The 17842-nt window shown below is 32.7% G+C and overlaps 1 protein-coding gene and 1 long non-coding RNA gene across 4 annotated transcripts in view; one reads left to right on the top strand and one right to left on the bottom strand.

Annotated features, from left to right (window-relative positions):
* The first annotated feature begins 421 nt into the window (after positions 1-421).
* PLSCR5 (phospholipid scramblase family member 5) overlaps positions 422-17842 on the top strand; it is a 28792-nt gene continuing 11371 nt past the window's right edge. The window contains exons 1-6 of one of the 3 annotated variants that reach the window (NM_001321245.2): positions 422-568; positions 5305-5444; positions 10685-10727; positions 11628-11848; positions 13887-14048; positions 15954-16115. In NM_001321245.2, the coding sequence (NP_001308174.1) occupies positions 556-568; positions 5305-5444; positions 10685-10727; positions 11628-11848; positions 13887-14048; positions 15954-16115 (741 nt within the window). In that variant the 5' untranslated portion in view covers positions 422-555. Of the gene's footprint in view, positions 569-5304; positions 5481-10684; positions 10728-11627; positions 11849-13886; positions 14049-15953; positions 16396-17842 lie in introns of those variants that run through there. The other 2 variants (NM_001085420.2, XM_017006373.2) reach the window with 2 other exon arrangements.
* Positions 15443-16166, bottom strand: PLSCR5-AS1 (PLSCR5 antisense RNA 1). Its single transcript, NR_046698.1, has 2 exons — positions 15980-16166; positions 15443-15705 (listed from the first exon to the last, which is right to left on the bottom strand). It is a non-coding gene; the product is annotated as a PLSCR5 antisense RNA 1 (long non-coding RNA).

The raw sequence follows: 17842 nt of genomic DNA, 5'->3' as shown, positions 1-17842 counted from the left end.
AAGAGATGGAGATAAATCCAATAGAAAAATAACAATAATAATGTTCAAACATTTTCAACATGTAAAGAATTGTATTTAGAACTATCAAAAATTTATACAATAGGATGTTTTATCACAGAATCTGGAAAGGAGACTTCTAGAAATTGAGAAATACAGGATATTTCTGATATAAGACTGAATGCAAATGTGTATATTCTAAGAAATACAAAAACAACTTGGTAAAAAAAAAAAAGACACTTAAAATGAGTGCTGTGTGCTTTCCTTTCTGGTTTTTATTATTTTTAAATTGTTCCTTCAGCCACCAAAGTTATATGATGGTTTCTGAACAGCGTTTACTTTTGTGACAGTTTCATCTCACTCTGTTGTCCAAACTGATAAAGTCCAGAAGTCTAGAAACAGCAAGGGACTCCCTTCCTCTGTTATATGTAAGCTGACAAGAGGCAGACAAACACGTTCTGAAGTTTTGTGCATGCTGCGTTTTCTCTCCTTGCTGCAACAAGAAAAGCCTTTGTTTTCCAACCTGGCAACCTTTGAAGAAGTGACTCAGACATCTTCATGGCCTCTAAAGGTAAGAGTAAATATAACCAACTAATAACTTTTTCTTATATTAAGACTAAAAATATACAATTGTGGATGTGTTACAACCAGTTAGATTGGTACTTTAAAAGCTGTCATTTGTCACTTTTGAACATTGTGATTTTAAAATCTTAACTCCCAGGAGCATGTTGAGTTACATGTAAAAACACTTTATCTGACAGACTGTAAAAGTTCAGATGTAAACGATGTTTTAGTTATCATGAATACAAACATAGTGAATTAATAAGAAAAGCTGCATAGCAAAGTTTAGAATGGGAATCTTCAATGTTAAACACAAGGACAGGGTGATATTTTAAGTTTAAAAGGATTTGAAGAAAACTTTTCACACATAAGTTAGAAAGTGTTAAAGTGCAATTTAATAATTTTTTTAATTAAAATATTAAAAATTTATGTGGGTACATAGTAGGTATATATACTTATGGGATACATGAGATGTCTTCATACAAGCAGGCAATGTGAATTAAGGACATAAAGGGGAATGGGATATCCATCCCATCAAGCATTCAGCCTTTGAGTTACAGACAATCCAGTTACACTCTCTAAGTTTTATTTTCCCATTTGTTATTCAAATTATGTGATATAGCCATTTATTATAAAGAATCTGACATGCGTTATTATTGATTCTTAAATGTGATGGGCTAGAAATAAGTATTTCTGAATTATAAAGCAAAAATATCTTGAAATTTCCTTATGGTAAATTAAAGATAGAAAACAAACAGAAAATATCTGCTTTAAGCGCACAGATCACTTAGCAGACTTTTGGGGAGTAGGACTGATGAGTTTTTTCTCAAATTCCTAAAACTGCAAAAATATCATTACGTTATCTTACTTTAAAGAAGGTCTAAAAAGACAAGAGATGTAGTTGTTTTTAAAGTAAGTTGCAATCTCACTAAAAACACTTGTGAAACTGTGTAAGAAATAAAATTATAATGTGCTTTCATTTCATTGTCAGAATGAACCACTAAAGCCTAGGCTATAATGAAAAGTTTTAGCATGAAGAATTATAATTAGTATAATTGGTGAAAACCTTTTAAATTAATTACAAATAGGATAATAGGGCTCATCAATTTGTAATATCCTAAATTAGTGATCCATTCAAACAAATGTGTATGCTTACTTGCTTCCTTTATCAAAACACACTTTTGGTCACTATTTAATATGAAACAAATGAGATAATCTTTCCATTTTTTATCAATCTTTAATGTAGACCAGTCCCTCAGTCCCTCAGAATCACTGAGAAAGCTCACACAAATTGTAAAACATAGATGTGAAATAGCAAAATCATGAATTTAACATATGTGTCATTTTTTTCTATCTGAAGACAAATAAACAAAAAACCTTGACAAATATTTCCTTTCATTTAAGACTGACACTACTATTTAGTCCAAAATACTTCATCACTTTATAAAATAAGAGTTACAGCAATACTGTAGACTGTAAGGTAAAAAGTTGCAGAGTGTATAAAATATTTATAAGCTAGTTATACATTTTTAAAAGAGTAGATAGAAATTCAAAGCCAGTACGAAATTCAAAGGAGTTCCTTCTTCATCTGGTTGTCTGAGTCTTTGAAGAAACTTGTGACTGGAAAGTAATATTATGTCAAAATATGATTAATCTAACAGGAAGCAGTGATGTTCCATAATGATAAAGACCCAAGTCTAAACTTAGAAGCAAAACTTCAGGTGGAAAACTGACCCTCCTTCTGCAACCGGCTCAAAATATTTAATGCATGGAAGGATAAAACACCTATTAGAGACTTCATACTACCTAGGAGAATATAAGTGATAATGAAGCTTTCTTGTGAATTAGATATCTTGTTTAAGAGGGCAAGTCAAATTATCACCATTATCTAAGTAAAACATTTTTGTGGATAGTTTTCTTCAGCTGTATATAAACACATTATTTATAACATCATGTTTTCTTGTCCAGTAACTATATTGGCAATTAGCATTTTCCCAGGGAATGCAGACTAATTGTACATTTCACATATTTCATAGGCAGATCAATCAGCACTACTAAACCAAAAGACAGTCTAAATACCAGGTGCCATTAGAACTGAAGAGACATTTGTGTGAGCTGGAGCATCCTGGCTTAGTAGAAATTAACACAATTTAAGAGCAAGTTGCTCTCAAACACGGTGATCTGAACTGAGCAAGAGCTGTCTCCAAAGGTTGCTTCAATGTGAACTAAAATCCCAGAAGAAGCAGCTAGTGATCTCAGAATAGTGATGTCTCTCAACAGTCTCAGGCAGAGACTCACTCACACTCTACTCCTAAATAAAGACTTTGGACACAATATCCTCTGAGCTCCAAGTGCATTAATGCTTCTGGACTTGCTGTGAAGTCTAAGGCCCTCCAGGACTGGGCGGGAATGTACAGCTACTTGCCAAACCCTCCATAACCTACTGCATTTTGTTACAGCAAACATAATTTACAAGATAAAATTGGGGTAATTTGTGAATCCCTTTAACAATTAAGTTTACAATGAGAGAGAATCTAAAAATCTTATACTAGCTATTGTTAGAAATTAATCCCTACACATGGTTTTTAATTGAGAGATAATATGTGCAGTGAAGTACATAGAGCACAAAACCTAGGCTCCATGATTTTTAAAATAAGGACCCATTCATGACCACCACCAAGATCAAGATATAGACATTTCTAGATTCTATAATGTTCTCTTTCTAGCCAATAGCCATGCATCCTCCCTTTCCCAAGATGGACCACTATTCTGGATTTTATCATTGTGAACTAGTTTTCCCTATATCATAATTTTGCTTCTATGTTTTTCTGAAAGTGACAATGGTACATTTTGCACTAACGCTAAAGAAATAATGTTTATTGCCTTTTAATATTTTTGCATCATTATTGTTATATTAATGGCCATTAGCTCTTCTCCCAAATCTGACATAGTGTTACATAGTCTTTCTCTGGCTTTACTTCTTAGGATCCTATTGAGGAGCCATTCTCAAGAGCAGGGGAAGGTCTAAAGCCTATATCCTTTGTATCTGCCCCAGATGTGTGAGAAGTTCAGGGTGGGGGTACTTGCGGAAACCAAACTGCTATAGTATTATCAGTAGGAAGCTGTATTTTAGTAGGGCCATTTGACAAGTTATTCCATTTGGTCCTAACCATAAAGCATGTCTACATTCTAAATATCACAGACCAGTACAAACTTAATGGCCCTACACTAATAATAATGAACTCAGTTTATTCGTACAACCTTAAGGTTAAATAAATAAATGAATGAATTTACTTCATGAATAAATAAATGAATGAATGAATGCAGAATATGCTTGAGTTTTCTTAATGATGAGAAATTTACTATCACCAAAGGAAACCCAATTCATTTTTAGAATTTATTTTTCACAGATTTAAAAGATAAAGATGTTTCTTCACCACCCCCCTGCCCCACACACAAACATTCATGAATTTGAGAGTCATTGCTGAAGTGAGAACATTGTAATTTGCTGCTAATTATATGGATTCCGCTTCAATTTTGGTATATGAGTAATGAGAATACTTATTCAAATCTTTGTGTAGCTGTTATAAATTTCCTACTTGTTGTCAATGCAGAAGCAATTTCCTTGTCCCTCTCTTTTGTATGTCTTTAGGACAATCTGATTTACTTGTCTTCATAACGGCCCTTCTCATATTTGAAAATACCTGTCACAAACCTTGCTTCACATCTATACCCAATCTAAAACAGCATAATGTGGATAAACTAACTGAATGCACTTGTGAAATCTCTAACACTTTGTTGATTACTAAACATGAGAAGTAAAAACACTGATATTCTTTGAAAAAAAAATTATATCTAATGAGAGAGATATCCAAGTGGTAGTTATGTGAGAAGAAAAAAATAGTAGAAAGGCTATCATTTATATTTTTAAACAAAACGACTTTTGCATATACCACCTTATTAGGGGTTATACATAAAATTACACAGAGTAATGCAAAGTAAATAACAAACCCCCAAATTTCAAAATAAAAGATGATTAAAATGGTAACATATTTACCTGGCAATAATATAGAAAACAGATGTCTTCTCTAAAAATTTTAGTCAAACTTTATAGAATTCTTTGATTATGATATCTTTTATATTTTGTAATATTGGGTGAGCTACAAAAGGATGCATAGCTTCAAACTATTATTGGTTATATAAATATAGACTTATACAAATATAAATATATAAAAATAAGTATATATATAAATATATAGACATGTATTACTGCATATCTATTCAAGTAACATCGATTTGTATGTATATACCTATATATAGTTATATAATATATAATTTATATATGTATAAAGTAACCGATAATTACTCTCCACATTTTGGTTCATATATGTATATAATATATAATTTATGTATGCATATAAATATATATGCAGTAAGTATATATATGCAAGTAATTATATATATACAGATACATATACACATATGCATATTTTTTTCTAAAGTCTTTTATTTTGGCTAAATTCAACTTTTTCTCACAACTACTACCAGCAGTCTTCTGCGTTTCGTTTTTTCTAACTTAGGGGACAAGTAATAATGGCAGTGAGTAGTGAAAAGAAGGAAAAGGGCATTAAAATGAGAGGCAGGAGATAAACTATCCTATCAATCAAGAAGTAACAAATACTTTAAGAAGGACTAAATAAAATGGCCTAAATTTAAATATGGATTGGGATTTCCATTCTCTTGCAGATGCCCAGAACCAAAGAAGAGGTCTGCCTGGTTTTCTTCCTGGAGCTCCAGACCCAGACCAAAGCCTTCCTGCCTCTTCCAATCCAGGGAACCAAGCATGGCAGCTGAGTCTCCCTCTGCCAAGCAGTTTCCTGCCAACAGTCAGTCTCCCTCCTGGTCTAGAATATTTAAGCCAGGTGTTTTTATCTTTCTATTACTACAGATATGTTCTACCCTTAAAATTAATACAAACTTTCTTTCTGGCTTTTCAATCAAGGTTGAAAGAATTTAACCAATAATTTACTGAAATGAAAAAAGCATTATAAATCATAAAATTATAAAATATTAACTTTATTTATTTCTACTATTTTTAAAAGTGTATCTTATTACTACTTTTATCTTCCTTATTTATTTGACAGAATGATGAGACTAAATATTTTTGATGGAGCTGTTTAGCATATTTATCCACTTGTTCATTGTTCAAGGTGTCAGTAAATTTTTGCTCAAGAAATTGTCTAATATGCCAGGCACGGTGGCTCACGCCTGTAATCCCAGCATTTTGGGAGCCCATGGCATGTGGATAAGCCAGGAGTTCCAGACCAGGCTGCGCAACATGATACAACCCTGTCTCTATAAAAATTATCAGGGCATGGTGACATTTGCCTGTGGTCCTAGCTACTCGGGATGCTGAGGTGGGAGGATCACCTGAGCCCAGGAAGGTCAAGGCTACAATGAGCTGTGATCTCACCATTGCACTCCAGACTGGGTGACAGAGTGAGACTTGCCTTGGAAAAAAAAAAAAAAAGAAAAGAAAAGAAATTTTCTAACATATCTAGTCATCTACAGCTATTTATTTAAAGAATATTTGTCGAGTGCTTGCTATACTAGAGACATATAAAAAGCACGAAACCTAGCCCCTCTTACCCAAAAGTTCTGCAACCTAATTGGCAAGACAAAAAAAAAAAAAAAAGTTAATGCAAAGTGCAAGCCTGTGTACAAATGACTGATAAACACACTATTGTAATTTGTGCAGGTGTATAGAGGAGAGAGAGGTTGTTAAGGATCAAAGTACTAGAGAGACTTCAACAATGAGCTGAGTTCAATGTCTTCAACTGAATCTCAAAAGGAGGACACAAATCCAAGACAAAGCGGTTATAAAGTGAACATTGTCTGCTGATACCACTGCATCTCCAGGCCAATTTGCTTAAAAGAGCATATTGCTATTGGGTATAGTCACTGTTCTAGTCATTGTAAAGTAGGCAGGATTCAAGCCTTATAATAAATCAATCAAAATATCACTATCTGAATTTTATGGCATATAAAATTCAGCTATTGCTATTCATGTATGTATATTATTGTTGCTTTTGTATTTTATCCTAAAAAGGATTAGAAGTACAATTACACTAATATTGAGATGTCAGCACATCTGCTGCAATTTTCAGCTTGTTTGGCATTCTTTCAAACTATAAAGTCTATCTCCTTTATCAAAATCAAATCTCTGTGTTAATTCCCTTAAGGTACAAGAGATTTCTGTTATGCCTGATAGGGTTTAAGCTGCACGCAGCATATGTTCCTGGGAAAATGTTTATAATTGCAGATGTCTTCTCCAGAAACCCACTGGCAGACAAATGTACTTTAGAGACTGGAGAGCTCAGGGAGATATGTAAAAGAGCTGGAAACGCAAACCTACCATCTTCCATCTGCAGAAAGGATCAGCTGTAATAGCTGACTAGAGTTGATTAACTGCTGCAAGCTGTTTGGGAATGTTGTCAGACAAGGTTTTGCCAAGTATAAAAGTGATATACCAGTGCCAGAGGGCTGAGGTTTGATGATCACATATGGTCATCACATATTCTTCTTCCATTCATGAATGATGACACACCCGGAGCCAGATGCTTGACATGAATACATTTTTGTTGTGTTCAATAAGTAGAGATATGAGCCCATTGGCTTTGGTTCTAAAATGGAATAAATTTTCCAAAAATATACCTTTGTTAATCATTCCAAGAAAAGAAAAATATGCCACCAATTGTTGAATATTCTACTTCTAAAGGGAAAGGTAATTTCCTCACTTTATACTAAAAGAACATTTATTTACTTTACTTTAAAGCAGTGCACATATAAAAGGATGAATGAGCACTTCCAAACTGTTATGCCATGAGTCTGGAAGAGACACAATATAAAATGAATTTTTAGATGCCAACTTTTCCCTAAAAGCCACAAAAATCAAACAAAATAATGAACATTTGGAAATAGTACATTAATCAATGAATAAACAGGAAATATACAATTAATATGTTCTAAATTTAAAAATTTAAATAAAATATTTTAACATCTATTCTCTTTTAATCAAGTCCATCCAATTACTATTGAGAATCTTGTTTCCATGAACAATTTGAAAATATACATATATGAGTGTTTAGCTATATAATGTACATTAAATCTAAGAGTAAAATCAATAAATTCTTTCCAAATTAAATTTACATGTTCATACAGTCAATAACATTTTACTGTATAGTGTCAAAGAATAATTATTATAGTCACCTATACATAAGAGTAATGAGTTAAAGTCTACAAAACATGTAAATATCCAATTTATTTTGAAATACATATATCAAATGGAATCATTGATACCTGTCAACTTGATTTTTTTTAAATTAATTATTAAGCCATACATCTAATCCTCTCATTGTATTTTCATTTCTACAGCTTTCATACTTAAGGAGTTAAGTTTTACTTGCCATGACACCTAAACGTATAATTCAATCTGTTTAAAGTTTCCAAAATTGCTAGTCTATCAATGAATAGAAAAAGAATGGAAAATGCCCCTTTGGGCCATAGTTTGTAAGTGGCTATGTGCTATTTAAGGAAAACTACAAGAACAGCCTAAAACAAACAACTCCCTTAAATCCAGGAGATTTTTTCACAGAGAGAGCAAATCAAATGTTATTACAGAGGATGGGGAGGGTATAAGAGTAAAGAAAATAGGAAAGGTACTCAAGTTTCATGTCGTCACTTAAGACTTATTTCCCTTAAATTTAGCGTAGTGATGTCCGTAAAGAAACAGAATAGAATGCATGTCAGAATTGATGTCCATTTACAAGTTCTGTGATGGTGGGCAAATTACTTAATCTCTGTGGGCTTGCTTCCTCACATTTAAAATTAATGATATTTATCTCTCTGAGTTTTTGTGAGGATTAAATCAGATGCTGTCTAAACATCTAGCACAGTGACTACCTTATGGTAGTTATTCAATTAAAAAAACTGTTATTGTTGGATATTAGAGAGGTACTACTTTTTCATTGTCAGGTGGACTTCAATTAATAGTTTCTAAATTTCAATACTAGAACTTGATTCATGACAACAGTATTCAAAGTACCTAAACTCCCACTTTATTCTTGATCACACAGATCTCCATTTCTAAGTTACTTTTGCTTAGATCAACTACTAAATAATAACATATATCCTTGTTGAGGCTTACCACTCCGTTTTCCTCAGAAGATAACAGAACTAATGCAGTACACTACTAAAGACTTGGTCTAGTATTTTTTTTCTAATAAAAGCTTTCTTATTATTGTTAATTTAGGTTTTAGAATATCTTAGATCATAAATTATTTTTGGAAAAATATTTTTTGTGAATCTTAAAAAAGAGGCCACACATATTATTTTATCAATAATAAGGTTTAAATAGAGAAAATGATATTAGTTTTACCTTCACCTTAGGACATACAAGGAGAATGAGGGAAATCATGTAGCTTCAAATGTTCTGAGATTGTGATGTCCAATCAATACCAAATTTTAGTAATGACTGGTTAGTTTAATAGTTACTGGTGAGTTTATTAATGCGAAGGGAGAATATGGTGAAGAAAATTTTAAGGTGAAAGGAAAAATGAAGCGTTAGAAAATACAATGATCAGCAGCATATTTAGTGTTCATGCTTTTGCATTACTGGATCTTCAAGTACTGAATATCAGATTGAAAATAAACACAAATAGGCCAGGCACAGTGGCTCATACCTGTAATGCCAGCACTTTGGGAGGCTGAGATGGGTGGATCACTTGAGGCCAGGAATTTGAGACCAGCATGGCCAACATGGCAAAACCCTGTGTGTCTACTAAAAATACGAAAATTAGCCGAGCATGGTGGCGTGCACCTGTAATCCCAACTGCTCAGGTGGCTGAGGCACGAGAATTGCTTGAACCTAGGAGGTGGAGGTTGCAGTGAGCCAAGATGGTGCCACTGCACTCCAGCCTGGGCCACAAAGCTGAACTCTGTCTCAAAAAATAAAAATAAAATAAACGCAAATAAATTTCTTTATAAGAACATAACTTTCATATTTCCTTTAAAAAGCAATTTGCATTACAGATTTTTTAATTTAATCATCATTTCTCAATTATCTGTGGATACTTTATCTCTGTAAATTAACTTTATTTTTAATTACATAAGTCAAATCTTGTAATGTATTTAGTGCCATAACATTTATTTGACTTAAATTGGTATTTTGTTGGCATCCACAGGAACTCATTTTTATTTTTAGTCCAAAGGAAAGTGTGAATGAGAGAAAAATGTATACAATAACCTTTCAGGTTTAACAAATATATTCCATCACTGAAAGATATGAGTTGCAGTTTGACAGAGTGATAGTAGACGTAGGCAGAGGTTAAGAGGAGAGGCCAGGCATTCAAATCATTATTGTGTTGTTTCATGTCTTCTAAAAAAATTGAGTTGTAAAACATCTTAAACATTATAATTCAGAGATTGTTTAAAAATCTTCACAAACTCTTGTTTTCAAGATCTACTCTAATTTTCTCATTATTGCGGAGTTAACACAGAGTTAGTTCTGTCTCAGTCTCCTTTTTCTTTCTTTTTCTTTTTTTTTAATTGAGACAGAGTCTCCCCTCTGGGGACTAGGCTGGAGTGTACTGTGCACCACAACCTCGACCTCCCAGGATCAAGCTATCCTCCCACCTCCACCTCTCTCCTGTGTAGCTGGGACTAGAGGCGCACGCCACTACAGCCAGCTAATTTTTGTAAAGACAGGGGTTTGCCATTTTGCACAGACTGGTCTCGAACTCCTGGGCTCAAGCAATCTGCCTACCTTGACCTCCAGAAGTACTGGATTTATAGGCATGAGCCACTGCGCCCAGCCCCGTTGCTATTCTTATTCTTGCTCAATGCTGCCTTGGAATTTTCAAGGTTCTTCTAAATTCTTCTTTAAATTAAAAAAAAAATTACGTTCTTTTGCATTGTAAAATGTGAGATATTTTCAACTGTTTTCCTAATAGAAAGCATGAAAATCACTAATTTTATGTAATATAGTAAATAGGGTACTAGTAGTATCTCCAAAGGTTTTCCGTGTGATGTTAATACTTTTTATTTCCTTTTATGTCATCCTTTACAGTTAGACCTGATAATTATACACCAGCAGGTGGAGCTGCTTGGAAGTAAGTGCATTATATATATTACATATTTATTAAAACTATTGAAAATATTTTAGTTTTCAGAAGTTTCTTTGCATCTAAATATGTTATAAATGAGAAAGTTAAATGTGTAGAATAGAATTAGATCAAAAAGAGTACTAGGTCTTTTTTCAATTAAAAGCTGAAAGTAAAATTATTAGTCTTATTTAGATAAAATAGAAGCATAAAACTCTGAATCTTTGGTGATATTGCCATTCAAATTCTGACATTACATATACTTTAAAATAGTAAAAGGTATTTGATCATTTCCGTGGATGCTAATCATTTAACTTTCCTAATAATTTCAAAAATGGAAGTCAAGGTTTTGACTAAATGAGTGATTTACCAAATAGGCAAATTATTTAAGAATCTACAAATTTACAAGCATGACTAACTGGATTCAAATTACTTGAGTATTTTCTGGGTTTAGTGCTCTATATTATGCCTAAATATATATAAAAATTGAAATAGCAGGATAGCGTACACCTTTAGATATATTACCAGACAAATATTTTAGACAAAATCACTATTATCACCATGAGTTGTCCCAATAGTTCTATAACAATAATATAATTATTTTTTGAGCTATAAATTATTCTTTAAAGCATTTGTCCTTTAGTGAAAAGGTACACTACATGTTCTCAAGTAGGTCATATATCTGGAATAAACATTAATTAATTATATAGCTTTATTCTCACCATTTACTTTTATTTCCATGGCTAAGTCCTAAAAATTTAGAGCATAGAAATAAATTTGTGTGAAGAAGATACCATATATTTAATAATTGATCAGACACTGTATTCTTTTAATAACATCTCCCCTTTATTTAAAGTTATCAATACTAAGGAAAAAAATGTTTTTATAATTTTTTTTTTGTTCCATTAGTGATACTTGGTACTGAGACCTCCAACAAATATGAGATTAAAAACAGCTTGGGACAAAGAATTTACTTTGCAGTGGAGGAAAGCATCTGCTTCAATCGTACTTTCTGTTCCACTCTGCGATCTTGCACCCTGAGGATCACAGATAACTCAGGTCGAGAGGTCATTACAGTGAACAGGCCCTTGAGATGTAACAGCTGCTGGTGCCCTTGCTACCTACAAGAGGTTAGTTACTGGCTCTGGTTGTCCTTTTTGATTTTTAAGATTAGCATTTGTTTCTTTAAAAGGAATTCATCTGGAGCAATGAGGCAATTAACCTGCCAGTTGTTTTAATTATTAATAGTATGTTGCTCCTTTAGGATCAGATCAGCTTGAGGATTTGGTAATTCACTAAACTTTTTTCTTTCCAACCAAAAACTATGGTGGCTTTCATGATATAAACTGTTGAAGACAGCTCATGCATCATGTAAATGAGATAGACCTCTGGAATCTCTATAGTAGTCATGTAATTGTAATGTCTACAGGTTCCACCATTGGGCATATACACCCTTTGTCTTCTCCAACTGGAGCAAAGTCCAGGAAATGCTAAGTGATATTAAACTCCTCTAAGGTATCCTCTTGGATAGGTATTATTATTTAGTATGGAATCTCACAATGCATTTACCCATTTATGACAAAGCCCAAGGTTTGGCAAGACAATGTTATTGTTCTACAGGGAATAATTCAATTATTTTATTTTAATATATAATAGATTTACGTTATTATTTAGTACACCTGTAATAATAACTTTCATTGACTTATGCAGTTAAATTGACACAGAACTTTTACTTACTTTACTGGCTTTGATACCATGATATTCTACTCATGAGCAAGAACAGAATCATGAAATCTCTAGGAGCTAGAAATAATTACTCTCTACATTTGGCAGTCAAGGAAGGAGAGTGGAGGTGACTACCTATGACTATACATTCAAGAAATCAGGAAATATTATAGATGGGACTTGAGCCAGGTGTCCTAATTTAAGCCCAACCTTCTCTGTTAGAACCTGTGGATAAGTACTGGCCTTAGGGTGATGGGAAAATATTAATATGAAAGATGGTTATTTAGGGAAGTTTCTAATAACATATATCAAAGCTAATTCTCCAACTATTTTTAGGTAAGCATCTGACTAAGTGATAAAATGATTGAAGTGCTCGTGCATGGAGCCCAAGAATTTCCATCCGTCTACTGAGGATATTTAATATTAATATGCCCCAAGAGAGTGTAGTCATTATGATCACAGAAATATGCTCATTTTAAAATTTTTGATAATTAACTTTTTCTTTAATGGTAGTCCAGGGTCATAAATTAAACATAATATATTACTTGATAACTATTAGTAACTTTTAAAAAAATTTGATCAATAGCAAATTAATAACTTTAAAAGTGATCCCAGAGCAAATCTATATTAATTCTAAGCAGTCTAGTTGAAATCACTTTTATCTATCCAAGAACATTATAGACATATGCATAAGACTATGAACTTCATAAGAAAAGTCAAAATGAGATCAGATGATGGCGATGTCTTGGTTTAAAAGCAAACATTTAAAAAATTTGTACCCACCCCCAATTTATTTTACAAAATATTTGATTGGGTTACATAAATATGTAAAGGTAATGGAGTCAAATGCTAAAGTAATGCCGGATAATGCAAAAATCCAACTACTAGTCTCGAACACTTTGGAAGCCACAAACCAGCAATCAAACTGGTGTTTAATGACTATAACTCTGCAAGAAGCATTTGTTTTTAATTAAATATAGATAATCTTGGAGCTTATAATCTTAGAGAAAAAATATGAATACTCAATAATTGATAAAGGAGACTTAAAATAGATGTGTGTTGTGGCTACAATTAAAAGGAGTAGATATGAGTAACCACATAGGAACAGCTTCAGTGGTTGACCAATGGTTGTACTTGGGATAAAATGGCAAAGAAGCCACTGTCCTAGGGTCAGAAGATAGTCGTGGGGTAGATTCTCTTTAGGGAAATAAGACATAGACTTTTAGTGCACAGTGCTAAACGTATGTTTATACAGTGAATTTCTTTGTTTTCTGTAAAATATTTTATAAAATCTGTATCCTTAGAAGCAGGTATTTAGAATGATTTGTAGAATATCAAAATAATTTTATAACAGTATATTGTTTACAGGTAAATTGACATTATAGTAAAATTAAAATATGATAACCTAAGAAAATCTTATTTTATCATTATCTCTTCTTACAGTTAGAAATCCAAGCCCCTCCTGGTACTATAGTTGGTTACGTTACGCAGAAGTGGGACCCCTTTCTGCCTAAATTCACAATCCAAAATGCAAACAAAGAAGATATTTTGAAAATTGTTGGTCCTTGTGTGACATGTGGCTGTTTTGGCGATGTGGATTTTGAGGTACAATTGACAAAATGAAAGAAGTTTTCATTTAGGTCCTGATTTTTTTTTGCAACATAATTCAATTTTTTTATGTTCAAATTAATTTCATTTAAAATAAGTTCAGAAAATGACATATTTGTAATATAATGTAATCAGCCCATATTGTACATGCTAAGAATAGGAATATGTAAATCCAGAGATATAAAGTCCAAGGATTTTTTAAAAATAATATTACAAAATTTATCACCTTGGCCATCATATCTGTCATAGACCAGTGTAAGTATTATCCAAAGTAATATTAATAAATTTTACTATAATAAAAGCATGTTTAGCTAAATATAATTCTATGTGTTCTATGGACAAAGCTACTATATCTCTTTGATTAGAATAGTAAATGTGTTGCTATTTTAATGTGTGCAAGACTTTGAACATCAAAAATTTTTGGACACATAGCTTTGCCTTTTTAAGATAACCAATATTTCCTGATTTTGAAAATTAGCACTTCATTCTTGTTTCAGTATGTTTTATTTATGTAGAATCACAGGACACATGGCAATAAAGCCAATATATACAGTTTAGAATCACCTAAATTATGTATCTTCTTTCCTATGGGCCTTGAGATCACATATCCCAGTTTAGATCTCATTTCAGCAGCACGTTACATTAAAACAGCATTAACTCAAAAGCTGTGTTTCTAAGACTTGCTAAGTTAGTTTTGTAAAAAAAACAAAAAAAAAAAACAAAAAAAAACCTTATTCTCGTATTTGTATAAATTGAATATTTAAAAAATAGAAAGTTGTAAATTTGATCTGTAGCAATATAAACTATCTTAACAGGTTGTCCTGGACATACAACTTAGGTAGAGGAGACAGCCTAATTGAAAGTGTATATTTATTTTTCATCCATTCATACATAAATATCTCAGCAAGGGCATTTAGTTCTCAGGACTTCAGGAAACACTATGCACGTAGAATACAATGCAAATTTTGCAAACTGAGCTGTTCCAACTTCACCCTATCCCCAAAGGATTTGGCATGACTTTCCTACGAGTAATATGATTGAGGAGGACTTTAAACATAAGAGTTTTAGCATTCATGCTATAGAAATGTCCTAAGTAACCCTCTCTATTCTCTATCTTTTACTACCCTGAAAAAAGTGATAGTTTCTCTTGAATTACTTTCAGCATCAGGATGGGAAGCAGAATAAACAAACAAATAGCTGATAAAGTTGATTTGTGAACTCCTTCTAGCTGAGAAGGACTGATTGATGTCTAGTTGGTCTTAACTTCCTATATGGTACATTAACCAGGAGGATTTTTTTAATGTAAAAATAGGATTTAGGATTTGTTAGAAAGTATTGACCTAATAAATGTCTGAGTATAATATAAAAATGTGATTTAACAATGGCCAATAATATTTAAATGTTTTAATAATTATAAAATTTTAGCAACTGAAATTTGAAAGTTTACAAATTATGCCTAGAAATTAATTTAATTCCTTCTGAAATATTTTTTCAAACATATCTTCTTTTACATTTTTAAGATGGAGAATTCAGGTTTAAAATCTGGACCTCAAGTAAAGAAATCGCCTTCATGCTTAGATGATACAATTGAACTATGTACCTGCTGCCATCTTGTGGTGGCTGAGCCTTAATTATTTATCCTGATATTCTCCATCTGCATACAAAAAAGAAAAAGAATTATGATGGACTAGAAAACTGTCAAAAAAGCAAAGTTTCTAAAAAGTAAACTGAAAAGCTAAATTTACAAACCTATGCTTATATGATGGAATGAATAACATGGAATTGTCATTTTGAAGATGACAAATAAAATAATTCAAATCTCTCATGAAGTAAACACCCTCAGAAGTATAAAACCAACTTTTTTCACTGTCAAATTTAATACTCCTTATTTTCTTTCTAAAGGTGAAAACCATTAATGAAAAGCTTACAATTGGGAAGATTTCAAAGTACTGGTCAGGATTTGTAAATGATGTCTTCACAAATGCTGACAATTTCGGAATTCATGTTCCTGCAGATCTAGATGTAACAGTCAAAGCAGCAATGATCGGTGCCTGTTTTCTCTTTGTAAGTATGGGCTTTGAGAGCATGAGTGATTTGTTATTCTCCCTCTTGCTTGTTAATTACAATATAGCCTATCCCATTTACACAGTTTTTACCCCCAAAGAGTATATTTTATTCATAGAAGGATAGCTTAGGACCAATGTTCTTCAAAAATTAGAATTTAGAACCCTGCATTTCTGTTAGGCAGCCCCTCTTCAGTGATCTCATATCCCCTTTCTCAAAGATTGAAGTGTTATCACATCCTATTCATCATTTCTTTAAAACCTAGTTTCCCCTTGCTTTTACGTTCAATTTAGATTTTTGGCTTATTTTCACTTGAACTAAAAAATATGCAAACATAAATATCACATGATTTATCCTGGATAAAGTTCCAGACTGGTTCATTGCATAATAGTGAGCTAGATGATATTAAGAATGTTGCCTTCTCAGTGTGAACATAGACACATGAAATGATTTGATGAGTTAATAGGTACCAGTTGCCATTATTTCTAAGATACTATGTTCTTGTTATTACTTTCCAACTTACAATTATATTGAAAACCTTTTCTTCTTTGGTATATGGAGATTGGTGATAGAAGAACAGAAGTCAAATAATACCTGTATCAAAATGCTTGACCTATATCCTGTTCTTAGTTTTCCCTCTAATATTTACCTAATTTCCTACCATTTTCAATGCAGCCATAAAAACTTATGGAGTTTTTATTTGTTGATATATAAACACATGTATTTTCTATAAATACATGAAAAAGATGTGTATACACAGGCACACACATAAGTGATTAAAACAAACAGCATAAGAGTTGAGAGTAGGTTGCAGACATGATGCCTTTTCCCCTAATTATATTAGTGTGCATTTCCTAAAAACAAGGAATTTTTTTACACATCACAGTACTATTGTCAAAGTCAGGCACTAAACACTGATTCAATGCTATTATCTAATCTACAGACTTTATTCGGTTTGCACTGATTTGCATAATGATGTCCTTTCTGACAATAGAAAATCCAAGATCATGAAGTATGTCCATTTTGTCACATCTCATTTGTTTCTTTTCACCTGGAACTGTTCCTAAGGGGTGTGTGTGTGTGTATATGTGTGTGCATGAACATGTGCACATGCATGTGCATTTCCCTGAGTCTCATGACATTGGCATTTTTGTTTTTGTTTTATTTTTTGTTCTATTTTTTGAGATAGAGTCTCACTCTGTCACCCAGGCTGGAGTGCAGTGGCGCAATCTTGGCTCACCACAACCTCTGCCTCCCAGGTTCAAGCGATTCTCCTGCCTCAGCCTCCCGAGTAGCTGGGATTACAGGCATGTGCCACCATACCCGGCTAATTTTTTTGTATTTTTAGTAGAGATGGGGTTTCACTGTGTTAGCCAGGATGGTCTCGATCTTCTGACCTCGTGATCCACCCGCTTTGGCCTCCCAAAGTGCTGGGATTATAGGTGTGAGCCACCTTGCCCAGCCGACATTGGCATTTTTTAAGTGCATAAGCCAATTATTTTGTAAACTGTGGCCTAATTTCAGTTTGTGTCATGGTTAGATTCAGGTTATGCACTTTTGGTAATCATGAAATTTTTATAAAGCTTAAATTCCTTCTCATGTTTTATTGTTTTCTGGGGTTTCAGAATGCTAAATCTGATTGTTTACATTAATGCCCTATTTACTGAGTCTCTTCTAATGATATTTGGAAAATATATGAACTAAAAATTATTCCCTGATGACTTCAC

Source organism: Homo sapiens, chromosome 3, assembly GCF_000001405.40.
Source record: "Homo sapiens chromosome 3, GRCh38.p14 Primary Assembly".
In the NCBI taxonomy this organism is placed as follows: Eukaryota; Metazoa; Chordata; class Mammalia; order Primates; family Hominidae; genus Homo; species Homo sapiens.
This window is presented reverse-complemented; position numbering and strand designations above follow the sequence as displayed.